The following is a 17,128-nucleotide window of genomic DNA, read 5'->3' on the forward strand; positions in this document are numbered from 1 at the left end:
CACACCTGTAATCTCAGCCATTTGGGAGGCCAAGGCGGGCAGATCACCTGGTCAGGAGTTCAAGATCAGCCTGACCAATAAGCTGAAACTCCATCTCTACTAAAATACAAAAAATTAGCTGGGCATGATGGTGTTCACCTGTTATCCCAGCTACTTGGGAGGCTGAGGCAGGAGAATTGCTTGAACCCAGGTGTTGGGATTCTCTCAGGATGGTGGCAGAAATATTAAAGGGAAGTATTAGGGAAATCACTCAGGATGGTGGCAGAAATATTAAAGGGAAATACTAGGGAAGGTTATAGAGAATAGTCACGACCTTTTTGGAAGGCTGAAAGGTTATATAGCTTGTAATAATTGAACAGGCTGAAGGTGGCCATTTCTTACCTTAGAGCATTAGGTCATAGGGTAAATACTAGGGTCAATAGAGGTTTCCACAGTTAAGTCTGTTTACCCTACCTCCATTAACTAACCATTGAGCCAGATGGCCCTCTGTGGGCAGGCGGGCAAGGAGGTCGACCAGGAAAATTGTCTGTAATGGTATTTACTTTAGACCTCGGTATCTGAGGTTAAACATTCGTAGAATACTCTCTTAACCATGTTAATTATCCACAGGTGTGTTTACTCAAAGCTTCTGTTGTTAATTCTGTACTAAATAAATGCCTAGAGTGCAAACTGCTGAGGGCTATGGCTGCCATTCTTTACAGGACTCTCCTTGGAGTCTGTGAGAGGCCTCGGACCCTCAGCTGGATTGGCAAAGCAGAGTATCTATGTGTCAGTGTACTTTATTCTTCCATCGCTGGGTCAGGGGTCTGTAAGGGACAGATTCCCCACAGCTAGTGCCCTGGTGAAAGGAGTGCTGCCTGACTGGGAGGCAGAGGTTGCAGTGAGCTGAGATTGTGCCACTGCACTCCAGCCTGGGCCAGAGAGCAAGACTCCCTTTCAGAAAAAAAAAAAAAAAAAGAAAAAGAATCAGCATGATTCTTCAGAGGATCTTCAGGTTCTCCTCTGTCACTTGGTCAGCAGGCTCAGTCCACTTGCGAAGGAACGTTGGTGTTACTGCGGTGGCTTTTTTTTTTTTTTTTTGAGACAGAGTTGTGCTCTGTCACCCAGGCTGGAGTGCAGTGGTGTGATCTTGGCTCACTGCAAGCTCCGCCTCCCAGGTTCATGCCATTCTCCTGCCTCAGCCTCCCAAGCAGCTGGGACTACAGGTGTCCCCCACCATGCCTGGCTAATTTTTTGTATTTTTAGTAGAGACAGGGTTTCACCATGTTAGCCAGGATGGTCTTGATCTCCTGACCTCATGATCTGCCCACCTCGGCCTCCCAAAGTGCTGGGATTACAGGCGTGAGCCACTGCAGTGGCATTTAATAAGAACTTGATCCTCTACAGAAACTCTTTATGGACAAGATTAGAGAATACAAATCTAAGCGACAGACATCTGGAGGACCTGTTGATACCAGTCCACAGTATCAGCAAGTGCTGGAGAGGGAGCTTTTAAGCTTGAGCAAATATATGATAAAGTAGACATGAATAGGTTCCCCACTTCAAATTTGAAGATCCCAAATTTGAAGTCATTGAAAAACCCCAGGCCTGAAGAGATAAAGTAAAATTAATCTGGTACTTTGTCATGAGTTACTTGTACAACTAGTTAGAAGTTTCAGAATAAACATACATTTCATAACTGTCAAAAATAAATAAATAAAATATGGCATTATAATATTATATATCTTGATGACTGCATTTTTGGCACTCCCTTAAACTTGTTTCACCCTAGTGTCCCACCTTATATTTACCTGCCAAAGTTAAGGACACATGCCTGGGAGATTGGTTGTATTAAGGTTCTCTACACAGATAGAACTAATGGAATATATATGCATATAAAAGGGAGTTTATTAAGTATTAACTCACATGATCACAAGGTCCCACAATAGGCCCTTTGCAGGCTGAGGAGCAAGGATGGCCAGTCCGAGTTCCAAAACTGAAGAACTTGGACTTCCATGTTTGAGGGCAGAAACATCCAGCATGGGAAAAAGATGTAGTCTCGGAGGCTAGGCCAGTCTCTCCTTTCTGCCTGCCTATATTATAGTTGCACTGGCTGCTGATTACTAGTGCCTTTCCCAGTCCACTGACTCAATGTTAATCTCCTTTGGCAACATCCTCAAAGACACACCCAGGATCAATAATTTGTATCCTTCAATCCAGTCAAGTTGACACTCAGTATTAACCATCACAAGTCCACACCTTGTCAACGTGAGCCCATACACATCTCCTGAGATTATGTTAGGTCATAATTATGGCTAACATAATACAATTATCCTTCGTACGACTGGAAATGCACCAATCCCCAACCCAAATGCTATTACATAAGGTTAATATACTTAAATGGTCATATGAAGTCAATATATCTTATGTCACATGATAAAGGAGAAAGAAAATAAAATGAAGATATTTTCTTAGTACAGGTGTATACATGCACCAACATGTTTTTAACAAAAGAAGGAGGAAATGCTGATGACAATTACTGTGGTTGTTTCTGCAGCTGGTCACATGGTTGTAGCTGGTATTGATGACTACCTTCTACTTCCCATTCTGTATTTCCTTTGCCTTCAGCAAGCACTTCAGCAGGTTGTGGGTTTTTTCCTGGTGGAGTGACCCAAACCTTCATTCCTGAAGGGTCTGGGTCATCTGCAGTCCTGCCTGGATTGGGCTGTTGTAGTTTTCCATTGACCTTAATCATAGGGCATGGTTATATGAAGAGATTAATGGATCTCCTGTATTCCTTTTTTTTTTTAAACAGAGTCTCAATCTGTTGCCCAGGCTGGAGTGCAGTGGCCTGATCTTGGCTCATTTCAACCTCCGCCTCCCGGGTACAAGCGATTCTCCTTCCTCAACTTTCCTAGAACCTGGGATTACAGTCTCATGCCACTGTGCCCAGCTAATTTTTTTTTTTTTTGAGATGAATTCTTGCTCTTGTCCCCCAGGCTGGAGTGCAAATGATGTGATCTTGGCTCACTGCAACCTCTGCCTCCTGGGTTCAAGTGATTCTCCTGCCTCAGCCTCCTGAACAGCTGGGATTACAAGTGTCTGCCTCCATGCCTGGCCAATTTTTGTATTTTTAGTAGAGATGGGGTTTCACCATGTTGGTCAGGCTGGTCTTGAACTCCTGTTCTCAGGTGATCCGCCTGCCTTAGCCTCCTAAAGTGCTAGGATTACAGGCATGAGCCACTGTGTCTGGCTGCGTGCCCAGATAACTTTTGTATTTTTAGTGGAGACAGAGTTTTGCCATGTTAGCCAGGCTGATCTTAAACTCCTGACCTCAGGTGGATCTCCAGTATTCCATACATACCCTTCCTTACCTCTGTCATGAAATAGTAGACTGATTTCATCTTGATAATCTGGGTCAGTCAACCCCAGCCACCACTGTAACTCCCTTTTTAGCCTATTGACTTAAAGGGAGGAGGAGCCCAAAGTGTCCAGGTGGTAATCTTAACTTCCAGTTTAGTGGAATCATTGTTGTGTCTACTGGTGGCAGCATTCCGCCCTCTGGAACTAAAACCTCTAGGCCAGCAGAACATAATATTGTGGGAATAGGAAGCAAACATTTTGGTAGTGGGTCACCAGGGGTGATGATGAGTGGTGCCACCTCCACTTTCATCCCTTGATTCCTGGACCCATGAATCCTGGCTATGGGAGAAACAGTACCATATATTTGATGCTGATTCAGAGCATACATGGCCTTCTGGAGAACTTTGCCCCAGGCCTGCAAAGTATTGTCACCTAGTTGGCATTGTAATTGTGGCTTCAAAAGGCCATTCCACTGTTCTATCAATCCAGCTGCTTCAGGATGATGGGGAACATGGTAAGACCAATGAATTCTGTGAGCATGAGCTCACTGCCACACTTCTTTAGCCATAAAGTGAGTCAGAGGCAATACTGTGTGGAATACCATGACAGTGGATAAGGCATTCCGTGAGTCCACAGATGGTAGTCTTGGCAGAAGCATTGCATGCAGGATGGGCAAACCCATATCTGGAGTAGGTGTCTATTCCAGTGAGGACAAATCTCTGCTCTTTTCATGACGGAAGTGGTCCAATATAATCCAACTCCTACCAGTAGTTGGCTGATCACCTTGAGAAAGGAATGGTTCCATATTAAGGGCTCAGTGATGGTCTCTGCTGCTGGCAAATTGGGCACTCAGCAGTGGTCATAGCCAGGTCAGCCTTGGTAAGTGGAAGTCCATGTTGCTGAGCCCCTGCATAACCTCCATACCTGCCACCATGGTCACTTTGTTCATGGGCCCACTTGGCGATGACAGAGGTGGTTAGGGAAAGAGGATGAGTGGTGTCCACAGAACAGGTCATTCCATCCCATTGATTATTGAAATCCTCCTCTGTTGAGGTTACACATTGGTGGGCACTCACATAGGATACAAATATCTTCACAGTTTTTGACCACTCAGAAAGTTCCATCCACATACTTCTTCCCCAAATTTGTTTTTCACCCATTTCCCAATGATGCTTCTTCCAAGTCTCTGACCATCCAGCCAAACCATTGGCTACAGCTCATGAATCAGTATAGAACCTCACATCTGGCCATTTCTCCTTTAATGCAGAGTGCACAACCAGGTGCACTGCTCAAAGTTCTGCCCACTGGGAAGACTTTCCTTTGCCACTATCCTTTAGGGATATCCTAGAAAGGGGCTGTAGTGCTGCAGCTGTCCACTTCTGGGTGTTGCCTGTATATCGTGCAGAATCTTCTGTAAACCAGGCCATACTCTTCTTTTCCTCTGTCAACTGATCTTAGGGAATGCCCCATAAGGATATCATTGCAGGACGGGGGAGAGAAGACAGGGTGGCAGGGGTGGAGACCTTGGGTGTTTAAGCTACTTCCTCATGTAACTTACTTGTGCTCTCACGACCTACTACAGCCCAATCACATATATACCACCTCCATTTGATGATGGAATGCTGCTGTCCATGACCCACTTTATGGCTAGATGGCTCAGAAAGCACCCAGTTCATGATAGGCAGTTCAGGTTGCATGGTGACTTGATGACCCATAGTTGAATGTTCAGTTTCCCCCAAAGCCCAGTAATAAGCCAAGAGCTATCGCTCAAAAGGACAGTAGTTACCCACAGAAGATGGCAGGGTCTTGCTCCAAAATCCTAGAGGCCTCTGCTGTGATTCACCTATGGAAGCCTGCAAAGCCTCCAAACAGCATCTCTATCTGCCACTGAAACCTTAATCACCATTGGATCTGCTGGGTCATATGACCCAAATGGCAGCACAGCTTGCACAGCAGCCTGGACCTGTTGCAGAGCCTTCTCCATTTGTGGACCCCATTCAAAACTGGCAGCCTTTTAGGTCACTTGATTAATGGGCTGGAGTAACACACCCAAATGAGGAATGTGTTGCCTCCAAAATCCAATAGGTCCACTACTCATTGTACCTCTTTCTTGGTTGTAGGAGGGGCCAAATACAGCAACTTATCCTTCACCGTAAAAAGAATATCTTGACAAGTCTCACACCACTGGACCCCTAGGAATCTTACGGAGGTAGAAAGTCCCTGAATTTTAGTAAGATTTCTTTCCCAGCCTCTGGCACACAAATATCTCACCAATAAGTCCAATGCATTTGCTATTCTTTCTCCCTTTCTTTCTCTTTCTTTTTCTTTCTTTCTTTCTCTTTCTTTCTTTCTTTCTTTCTTTCTCTTTCTTTCTTTCCTTCCTTCCTTCTTTTCTATTTTCCTTCCTTCCTTCCTTCCTTCCTTCTTTCTTTCTTCCTCTTTCCTTCTTTCTTCCTGTCTTCCTTTCTTTCTTTCCTTCTTTCTTTTTTGAGACTGAGTCTTGCTCTGTTGCCCCAGCTGGAGTGCAGTGGTGTGATCTCAGCTCACTACAAGCTCCGCCTCCCAGGTTCATGCCATTCTCCTGCCTCAGCCTCCCGTGTAGCTGGGACTACAGGCGCCTGCCAACATGCTGGGTTAATTTTTTGTATTTTTAGCAGAGACGGGGTTTCACCGCGTTAGTCAGAATGGTCTTGATCTCCTGACCTCGTGATCTGCCCGTCTCGGCCTCCCAAAGTGCTGGGATTACAGGTGTGAGCCACCGCGCCCGGCCTATATTCATGTTTATATGCGATATGGTTTGGCACCCAAATGTCATCTTGAATTGGAACTCCCACAATTCCCATGTGTTGTGGAAGGAATCTATTGGGAGGTGACTTAATTATAGGGGCAGGTCTTTCCTGTGCTGTTCTAAGGAGAGTGAATGAGTTTCACAAGATCTGATGGTTTTCAAAAATGGGAGTTTCCCTATACAAGCTCTCTCTCTTTGCCTACTGCCATTCATGTAAGAGATGAGTTGCTTCTCCTTATCTTCCACTGTGACTATTAGGCTTCCCCAGCCTCATGGAACTGTAAGAGAAATTAAACCTCTTTCTTTTGTAAATTGCCCAGTCTTGGGTATGTCTTTATCAGCAGTGTGAAAATGGACTAATACAATGTGCATATATGTAGAATAATATATATACACACTATGTACATACCATATATATGTATGTATACATACATGTATATATACACAGAGATGCACACACATACATATATACACATACATATACATACAATTATATATGCACATACATACACATACATATGTATATACACATACTTATATACATAATACATACACACACACAGATAGTTAAAAAATTAGGACCTAACTATTGCCTAGGCAGGCGGGCAGTGGTGTTTATCACAGCCCTCTGCAGCCTCAAACTCCTGGGCTCAAGCAGTCCTACCTAAGCATCTTCCCAAAGCGCTGGGATTATGGAGTGAGACACCATGCTGACCTACACATTTTAAGTACAAGCCTTCATCTGATATGGATTTTGCAAATATTTGCTTGCACTCTGTGATGTGTTTTTTTCACTGTATTAAATGTCTTTTGTACACTTCTAAAGTTCTACTGATGTCTAACATCGTTTCTTTTTTTTTTTTGTCCGAGATGGAGTCTTGCTCTGTCACTTAGGCTGGAGTGCAGTGGCACCATATTGGCTCAGTGCAACCTCCGCCTCCAGGGTTTAAGCAATTTTAATGCCTCAGCCTCCCCAGTAGCTGCGATTACAGGCATGCACCACCACGCCTGCTAATTTAATTTTTGTGTTTTTAGTAGAGATGGGGTTTCACCATGTTGGCTCATCTTGAACTCCTGAGCCTCATGCTCTCAAAGCAGTGGGTGGCTCACATCGCTTATTTTTTCTTTGATGCATCATGCTTTTGCTACTCTATCTAATAAGTCATCACAGGCTGCATGTGGTGCCTCACATCTGTAACACTACCAGTTTGGGAGGCTGAGGTGGGCGGATCAGTTAGGGTCAGGAGTTCAAAACCAGCACGGCCAACATGTTGAAACCCCATTTCTACTAAAAATAGAAAACAAAACAAACAAACAAAAATAATTAGCTGGCTGTGGTGGCAGGTGCCTGTAATCCCAGCTACTTGGGAGACTAAGGCAGAATTGCTTGAATCGGCAGAAGCTGCAGTTAGCCAAGATGGCACCACTGCACTCCAGACTGGGCAACAAAGTGAGAGACTCTGTCTCCAAAAAAAAAAAAGTAATTGCCGAACCCAAGGTTGTCTAGGTTTTCTCCTATGTTATCTTCTGGGAGTTTTTATAGTTTTGTCTTTTACATTTAGGGCTATTGTCTATTTTATTTTTTGTGAAAGGTATAAAGTCTATGTCTAGAGTTTTGTTTTTTGTTTTTTTTTTTTGCATATGATGTCCTGTTGTTCCAGCACCGTGAGTTAAAAAGAATGAACTGCCTTTGCTCCTTGCTCAAAGATTAGTTGAGGTGGGGTGCTATGGCTCAAGCCTCTAATCACAGCAATTTGGGAATGTGAGGCAGACAGTTTGACACAGTCTGGGGTAACATGGTGAGATCTCAACTCTACAAAAAATGCAAAACACTTAGGCATGCTGGTGCTCGCCTGTAGACTCAGCTACCTGGCAGACTGAGGTAGGAGGCTGTAGTGAGCTGAGACCACACCACTGCATTCCAGACTTTTTGTGGATTCCTACTGCCTTTTTTTTTTTAAGATGTTGTCTTGTTCTGTAGCCCAGGCTGGTGGCCTGATCTCTCACTGCAATCTCCACCTCCCAGGATCAAGCTATCCTCCTGTCTCAGCCTCCTGAGCAGCTGGGATTACAGGTGCAAGTCACCACGCCCAACTAATTTTGTATTTTAAGTGGAGACGGGGTTTCACCGTATTGATTAGGCTGGTTTCAAACTCCTGACCTCAGGTGATCCACCCACCTGGGCCTCCCAAAGTGCTGGAATTACAGGCATGAGCCACTGCACCCAGCCCCTACTGGCTTTTAATTTGAATTCTGGATACTCAGCCTGCATGATTGCTCATGCCTGTAATTCCACCACTTTAGGAGGCCAAGGAGGGCAGGTCACTTGAGGTCAGTAGTTTGAGACTAGCCTGGCCAACATGGTGAAACCCGTTCTCCACTAAAAACACAAAAATTAGCCAGGTGTGGTGCTGCATGCCTGTAACACCAGCTACCCAGGAGGCTGAGGCAGGAGAATCACTTGAATCCGGGAGACGGAGGTTGTAGTGAGCCGAGATAGTGCCACTGCACTGCTGCCTGGGAGACAAAGGGAAAGTCAGTCTCCAAAAAAAAAAAAAAAAAAAAAAAAAAAATTTCCAGGTACTGTTGGTGACATTTGTTGCAAACAGATTTGTTTTTCCCCTGCCTCCAATTAGTAAGTGAAAATAACTGGAACACACACACACACACACAGAAAATAACGGGAACACACATCTCTAGTGCAGTGGGTATCTGTGGAAATTATTGTGGCTCGCTTTGTCAGAATGCACTAGCTCCTTCCAACTTTATTTTCTTGTTTTCTCCCACCTGGTAGGACTGCACATTTGAAAAATTCGAAGCATTAAATAACACAGTCTATCACTTATCTACCGCCCACCTAACATTTCAGAAAGAGGAATTTTGGTGATTGCATGATAAATAGAGGAGTTCTGTCTTCCTGCCTTAGTGTTACAGTGTCCTTTGGTGTTCTATAAGCCTATGATAAAAGCTATTGACTATAAGGGCAGTAAACCCGGTGGGATACAGGCAGGATGGATTCTGAGCTGTTTTGCAGTTAGCTACAGAAGATCAGCTGCAAAACTTGGCTACCCTGTGCTCCCGTTTTAGAGTGAGGATTTCCATCACTTTCTCCTACTTTAAAAGATTGACATCTGCCAAGTAATTAGAACATACAAAGAGGTCTTTTAACCAAGTTCAGTTTGGAATTTCCAAGCGCTAAGCAGGGGTGGCAGGCTAGGAGGACGGTTTGGCTGTGCAGCTACTTGAGAGGGTGCGGTAGCCGAGGGCTGCGTCCTTGTTAAGTCCAGAGCTGTAAAGACTTCTACTCTTTACTTTCCAAAACTGAACGAGCAAGGCTATAGAAGAATCAATTAACCGCAAAGTGACCCTACAGGCGGAAAAAATACAGCGCTTCCACCAGAAGGCGGTGGGGGAAGGGAAGCACGTGTAGCCAGGGTAGGGTTGCATCATGAGCTCGCTTGGGTTTTCTCTTGCACCCTTCGTTTTTCGATTGCATGCAATACCTCAGCATCAGTTTACACAAGCCCAGGGAGTCCGGGAGCAATGAAGGGCAGGCTCAGTGGAAGGTCCCAAGTCTGTCTGGAGACCTTTGAATGGCAGCTGATAAGACATAATAAGACACAATCTGTTCTGCTGATTCACAATTATGGAGACTGTGTATGTGTATTTTTTTATCGATGTGCTCTAATGATGGTGTAGCAACCGTGATTTCATATCATTGATGTTTTTACAGCAATATTTCGCAGGGTAATTTTCAGGTCTGCTTTTTTGTTGGAGGATCGACCCCTTAAAAATTCATCTCGGGTTCCCGTCCCCCCACAACCTGAGCTTTTTTGTTGGAGGATCGACCCCTTAAAAATTCATCTCGGGTTCCCGTCCCCCCACAACCTGAGCGTCTAACGCGGGAGGAGGAGCAAGTGAGGTTATAAATTGCTGAGTGTACTGGGATCTTAGCACAAAGCTCATCATATACTAAAAGGAGGGGCAAACTTATTTAAAAATATTCAACACGGCAGGCCTCAGAGGTGCTGGGGAGGGGGAGTGGAAATCTGTTTAACTGAATTAAGGCCGCGCGCGAAGGGAGGAAGGAGCGCTGGGGACTTGAGTACACCAGGGCCCGTCCGTGTAAGCACTGGCAACGCAAAGCACCTTACAAACGCCCGAGGTCTGAAGCCTGGGAGTGGCGGTGGAGGTGAGTCTCCCAGCCTCCTCTTCAGTTCCTACACCCCAGCTCCTGGCTTTTACGCCAGTTTGTCCCTAAGAATTTCTGGCTCTTTTTCTGGGAGGTGTTTTGCAAAGGGGGGAGCCTCTGCCTGTCCCCTTTTTCGAGATGGGAAATGACAACTGGGGTGTCTTCTAAGACGATTTTGACGGAGATACACCCTCGGACAGGTGACGGGAGTTCCGTGGGGGCAGAGGGCGGCTTCCTTTTTCGGTTGGGGGAAGGCAACAGTCTAGCAGTGGCCCAGGTTCCCCTCGCCCACCCTCGGCATAGGGGAGGGGCCGGTTCGCAGTTCCCCACCCTCCTTAGGGGAAGGGCTGGTTCCGGATCTAAACCACTGGGGCGCTGGAGCTGGGGCTGGTGGGAGGCGGGTTTCCCTCAGCTGGCTGTTGGGGAGGGGCGGGCCGCGGCGAGTGGGTGCCCTCTCGCTCTCAGTCCTCCCGGTCCGCGTTTGCATGCTAGCGGCCGCTCCCAGTGGTGGTCACCGCCAGTGCCAATCCCTTGCGCCGCCGTGCAGTCCCGCCCTCTGTCGCTGCAGCCGCCGCGCCCGCTCCAGTGCCCCCAATTCGCGCTCGGGAGTGAGGAGCCGCCAACACCCCAGCTCCGCTGCTGCCGCCACCGCAGTGCTCTCTAGTCGCCATTGGTTACCTAAACTTTCCAGTACCCGCGACCTTTCCGGGACTCCGCGGCGGCGGGGCAGAGGCGGCCCAGGGGCGGCACGCGGCTGCTCCGGTGCGCCGGGCTCTTTTCGGCCGCCGCACGGCCGGGCCTCACAGGCTGCCCTCCTGAGAGAGGCTCAGAACACGGCCAGGTACGCGCCGCCGCCACAGTTGCGCTGCTAGCGACGAGGTGAGTGCTAGGTGTTTGGTGGGCCGGGCGCGGGGTCCGCAAACTTTTGCGTACGGCGCTGACTCCCTGCGGTCCTGCCGGCGGCTCCGGCCGTCCAGACGCTCCGCTCGCCACGAACTCCTGGAGACGCAGGGCCCCAGCTGTTACCGCAGCACTTGGACTAGGGTGCGGAGCGCTCCCTGGACTCAACAATACCGGGAGGTTTCCGCTCCCCCAAAGTGCGTGCGCGCCGTGTGGGGAGTGTACGGAGGTTGGCGGGAGACGCTCCTTTGGGGAAGGGGGAGGCGGCTGCTAAGTTTAGGAAAGTACTCGGTTTCTTCCTGGTGCCCCTTTGTTTGCCGCTCTTGGGATCTGCTGGGCCCAGCGCCACTGCTGGTGGGCGGAAGGGGCAGGTGGCGGGATTTTTCACGCCCCGGTGGAGGGGAGTCCCTTTCATCCACGGGACTCGGGCCGGCCTGCCCCGACCTGGGTGGAAGCGCAGTCGCGCAGAGCGGGGCGACCGGCTGGCTAGGCGGCTCGGGCCCGCGGCGTCTGCTCAGTTTCTGAGTCGCAAAACCGTCAAGGAATTCGGAAGCTCCCCTCCCCCGCCCATCTCTCTGGCCCCAGCGCGCAGTCAAGTCTGGGGGCAACCCCCCCCGCGCCCCCGGTCTGTTTGGGGTCTGCAGAGCGGCGCCAGGGTAAAGCGCAGACCTGTTGATCCTAGGTTCTGGCGGGTCGGGGTCTGGCAGATCCTGGGTCCGGCCTTGCTTCCCAGTGGTACCTTCTCTCACGGAGGGGGCGGGGCCGTCCGCTTTCGGGAGTCAGTGATCGCCGGATATGTGACAACTGTGGGTCGTTGGAGTCCCGCCGGCGCTGGGCTAGGGCCTGGACTTCACGTACATCGACTGTGCGTGGTCATGCCGGAGGCAGGGGCTCACTCATTGCACCGACCTCATGTTGCTGTAGCAAGCTAAGTGCGTCGAAAATTCCACAAAGTTAGGGACCGATGTGATTATTTTCGAATCGGTGGTGTTCTGGAGCAAAACCTAGTAAGAAACAAAATCCCACCCTCTGTTTTATTTGCAACTGTTTTGCATGGTCATGAGTGGCTTGACCTGCCTTCTAGGTGTTTTCCTCTGCTGGCACGCCAGAATCCCTGGTTCAGCCTGGAAGGCGAGGGGCAGGACTCCCCAGACAGTGGCCTCAGTGTGGTAAGTGGCTCTTGACAATTTTATGAAAAATTTAGAAGTCCTTCCTAGAAAAGGTGCAATTAGGAAAAATAAAATACAGGAAAATGTTGAGTATGATGCATTTATTTTAAAGAGTAATCATGTCTCACATATGCTACAGATTTTTGTGGAAAGCCGCCGAGCTGGGTAACTGACACAACAAAAGTTGTTCATCACTGGATCCATTTATTAAAAGGGGACCTTAAGGCGATTGCAGGCCTAGTAGAACACACACCTGTAGGGCAAAAATGGAAATTTATGGTGTAGTTCTGCCACCCTGGCTCCCTCACTCCCAGGCATTTGGCCCCTTTACTGGGCTCCGAGGAGTCCTCTGCTAGCAGTTTTAAAGAGGAAACTGGGCCGGGCGTAGTGGCTCACACCTGTAATCCCAGAACTTTGGCAGGCCAAGGCGAGTGGATCACCTGCAGTCAGGAGTTCAAGACCAGCATGGCCAACATGCTGAAACCGCGTCTTTACTGAAAATACAAAAGTTAGCAGGGATGATGCCAGGTGCCTGTAATCCCAGCTACTTGGGAGGCTGAGGCAGGAGAATCGCTTGAACCTGGGAGGTGGAGGTTGCAGTGAGCTGCTTTCGCACTATTGCACTGCAGCCTGGGAGACAAAGCAAGACTCTGTCTCAAAAAAAAAAAAAAAAAAAAAAAAAACACTGTGTGCAAAAATTACTGTAGACACTCTTAGAAGTGAATGATTACAATTCTGGAGTACCATTGGTTCTGTACAACATAATCTTGGATTTTAGTTAGAAGATTTTTTTGCCTTTTAAGGTAACAGTTCATTAAAAAATACATTGATCTACTGCTAGGTGCCAGGTATTCTGCTGGGCCCAGGGCACACCACGAACAAAGCAAAGCCCTGTTTTGGGGACTTTAGATTGGGGGTAGGATAGAGGATGCCCTGGTCACCAACTGCAGCGTACTACTAGGATCCTGAGTGGGAAGAGTTTTTAGGTGTTCTTAGTCTTCTTTTACCCAAGGCTGATCAGTCCAGTAATTATGACTGTCTCCCTTTACATTTCACATGTTGATACACAAATCATCTAACTGCTCTGGAAAGTTTGGGCATTTTAATGGACTGCATGGAGATATATTATGGTGTGGGGCTTTGGAGTCTAGTTGGTTTTGAGTCTGTTTTATCTAGTGGAGGCTCGGTTTTCTCATCTGTGAGATGGCACCAGGAGTCTCTCTCACAGAGCTTTCTAAGAGACTGTACTGCTTTTGGGAGCTGACAAAGTGGTGATTAGAGCCCCTGAGTTAATCTCCACAATGACAGATTCCAATGACCTAGGTATGTTTGAGAGAAAACTACCTTTGTCCCCATTAGTCCTTAAGTTGTGAAGGGGCCCACCATGTTTACTTTGCCCTTGAGCAATTGTGTAACTTTGAACTCCTGCAGCCTTTTTAAGCATCATTTTTCATGTGTAAATTTAAAAAACAGAACTAGAATTCCCCAAAGTCCAGCTCTTAAGCTTGGTGTTACTTTGCTTTTCTATCTAGTGTGGATCTTCCCACTGGGAAACAAAAGATCTATAAATTGTACACACACAGGAGACTCTACATTGAATATGCTTATAGAAATACATGTATGTATGTTTGTGTGTGTATGTGTTTGTATATGTAGATGTATCAACAGAGTCACAGAAAGTCTACCACAGGGGATCAGATGGTTTCTTCCATAGCTTTATCATTGCATTTAGTAGCCAGTTGCCACATATGGCTATTTAGACTTAATTGAAAGTAACAGTTCTGTTTTATCAGTTGTACTAGCCCTATTTCATGTACTGTGGGGCTGCATGAGGTTAGGTGGTCATGCGCGGTCATATTGGATAGCAGGAAACTTGCAGAAAGTTCTATTGGAGTATGTTACTTTGTAGTTATTGCAGTGAAACCTTAATAAAGAAAACTGTTGGCCAGGTATGGTGGTTCATGCCTGTAATGTTAGCACTTTGGGACGCCAAGCGGGGAAGAAGGCTTGAGGCCAGGAGTTTGAGACCTCATCTCTACTAAAAACATTTAAAAAATTAACTGGGCATCGTAGTGCGAGTCTATAATTCCAGTTGCTCGGGAGGCTGAGGTTGGAGGATTTCTTGAGCTGAGGAGTTCTGGGCTGTGGTGAGCACACATCTGCGCTCCATCCTGAGTAACAGAGGAATAATCTATCTTAAAAACAAAATAAAACAAAACCAAATGCAGCAGTCATGCCTGGGTGTGGTGGTTCATGCCTGTAATCCTAGCACTTTGGGAGGCTGAGGTGGGTGGATCACTTGAGGTCAGAAGTTCAAGACCAGCCTGGGCAACATGGTGAAAACATGTTCTGTATTAAAAAAAAAAAACATTAGCTGAGTGTGGTGGTGCATGTCTGTGATTCCAGCTACACAGAAGACCGAGGCGTGAGAATTGCTTGAACCCAGGAGGTGGAGAGGTTGCAGTGAGCCGAGATCGCACCACTGCACTCCAGCTTGGGGAACAAAGTAAGACTCTGTCTCAAAACAAACAAACAAACAAAACCCCAAACAACTACAACCAAAAAACAGCAGTCAAGAGAGTTGTGCTTTTTGTGGAGGAAGGTGCGAAGCCAGTGAAATTGAAAATAACTCACAGGTGGGCTCATTTTTCTAAAAAAATGACTCATTTCAGCCAGTGATTTGGCCAGGAAAATGATTTCAGCAAATGGGTTATTAACCTGAAGTTGACAACCTCTAGTTTTAGATTGAGGTGGTTTGGTCCAATTTTGATTTAAACAACAGAACTCCAAGCTTGAGTCCCTCACTGAGTGTTGAATTTTGGGCAACACATTTAGCTGCTGTGTGTCCCAGTTTCCCCATCTTAAAAAATGACACTGCCAGTCCCCATGTTGCCAACCTAAGCAGATTGTGGTAAATATCCCTCAGGATGGTGTAGGTGGAAGGCTTAAGTAAAATAAAAGGTGCTTCTGTCAGTAACAGTCCTGTGCCCAGGTACTGTAGTGCCATATCTGTTATTTTCAGACCCTCACATACTCTGGATACCTTGGGCTTTCCCTTCCCGTTCTTTAAGTTTAAGGCCTAAGTATCGAGGTTAAGTCTCTTGAGATCAAAGTCTTCTGTATTAAAAGACTAATAAAGAATCCTTCCAACAAGGTGAGACTTCCCAGTAGTCCAAGTGTTTTAAAAACCTTAAATCACGACTGTTAGCTGTTTTCTGCACAGCAGTCTTGAGTCAGTATGTTATTTTTCTTACTTGGTAGATATGTCATTTGTATGGGTCTTTGTATTTTTTATGGCAATGAATGAGAAATTTTATTTGTCAGTGAGGATAGGGGAAAAACCGAACTGTGTGTCTTTAGAGAGGTGAATTCCCAGATTAACTCCCCTGCCATTTGTTCTTTCTTTGGTGTCTTGTCAGGACTCTGGTGTCATCTCCTGTCAGCCTTTGGTTGAAAGCACTTGGAAACTTGGGTGGCTGATATTCTCCAGAGGCAGAAAAATGTTCCCAGCCGAGAGAGGCCATCTCCAGCAGGTCCTGAGTGTCAGGAATTCAGATTCTCTGCCCCACTCCTGCTGGATAGGAGGACACTTCCACTAGAACCTGGGCCTGGCCCCTTTCCAGTTTTCTGCTGGGAGTCCGGATTCTGGTGCTTTGCTCCGAAGCAGTGCCCGTGGGCCTCCGGGCCTGGCTCATCATCACAGCTTCTCTGCTCAGTGAGGAGACCATCATTGTGCTGCTTTTCTGATGCCTTCCATTTGCCTTTTTCTCCACTTGGGAAAAACAAAAAAAGCTAGTATGCTACATCCTGAAAAGTTGTTAATCCTTCACCACCACATACATTGAAAAATCAGTTCCTGCCGGGAAGTACCACTAAAGGCATATTGTAAACTTTTTTTCTAATTGGAAAGGTAAACTTTTTTCCCCCATAACTATTTTTCGTGTGAAGGAAGTAACTGACCTCTTGAGTCAGAGATGGCACTCGAGTTTTTCCCCATGGGTCTTGCCTGCTACACTCCTGGCCACCCTTTCTGTGGGGCTTGACCAAATGGACCACACTGGCCAGCCTGACAAACCCACCAGAACCAAAAGAAAAGCTGGATGTGGGAAAGGGCTGAAGAACTCCACGTGTCTAAAGGGCAAAGAGATCCTGGGTTGAGAAGAGGAGTTTCAGATTTCCAATGGAGAAAGAGAGGCGGAGGTTGCAGTGAGCCGAGATCGTAACACTGCACTCGAGCCTGATGACAGTGAGACCCTGTCTCCGAAAAAAAAAAAAAAAAAAAAAAAGCCTCTAATCCCAGCAATGTGGGAGGCTGAGTCGGGTAGATCACCTGAAGTCAGGAGTTTGAGACCAGCCTGGCCAACATGGTGAAAAATCCCACCTCTACTAAAAATATGAACATTAGCTGGGCTTGGTGACACATGCCCATAATCCCAGCTACTTAGCTTGAGGTAGAATCAGTCACTTGAACTGCGGAGGTGGAGGTTGCAGTGACCTGAGATTATGCCATTGCACTCTAGCCTGGGCAACGAGAGCGAAATGCTGTCTCAAAAATATATAAACAAATGAATAAGTAAATAAATGAAGAAGAAGAAAGGAATGAAGGTAGACAATATGCTTGCTTATTGGAACGATGTTTTCAACACTGAGTTCTGGAATGTTGCAGCCAACCAGTGGCTCTTATTTGGGACACTTTTTTCCGTCACTTTTGAAGGGGGCATTTGCTAATGTCTAGAG

At 46.8% G+C, this 17,128-nt stretch overlaps 2 protein-coding genes and 1 pseudogene across 4 annotated transcripts in view; 2 read left to right on the forward strand and 1 right to left on the reverse strand.

The window, feature by feature from the left end:
- AMELY (amelogenin Y-linked) overlaps positions 1-11,971 on the reverse strand; it is a 45,835-nt gene extending 33,864 nt beyond the window's left edge. The window contains exon 1 of the mRNA NM_001143.2: positions 11,892-11,971. The gene's annotated coding sequence lies outside the window, so the exon portion shown is untranslated. The remainder of the gene's footprint in view (positions 1-11,891) is intronic.
- Positions 1,349-1,686, forward strand: ATP5PFP1 (ATP synthase peripheral stalk subunit F6 pseudogene 1; annotated as a pseudogene).
- Positions 10,916-17,128, forward strand: part of TBL1Y (transducin beta like 1 Y-linked) — a 180,987-nt gene continuing 174,774 nt past the window's right edge. For all 3 annotated transcript variants that reach the window (NM_033284.2, NM_134259.2, NM_134258.2), the window contains exons 1-2: positions 10,916-11,201; positions 12,307-12,391. The gene's annotated coding sequence lies outside the window, so the exon portion shown is untranslated. The remainder of the gene's footprint in view (positions 11,202-12,306; positions 12,392-17,128) is intronic.

This window comes from Homo sapiens, chromosome Y (assembly GCF_000001405.40).
Source record: "Homo sapiens chromosome Y, GRCh38.p14 Primary Assembly".
In the NCBI taxonomy this organism is placed as follows: Eukaryota; Metazoa; Chordata; class Mammalia; order Primates; family Hominidae; genus Homo; species Homo sapiens.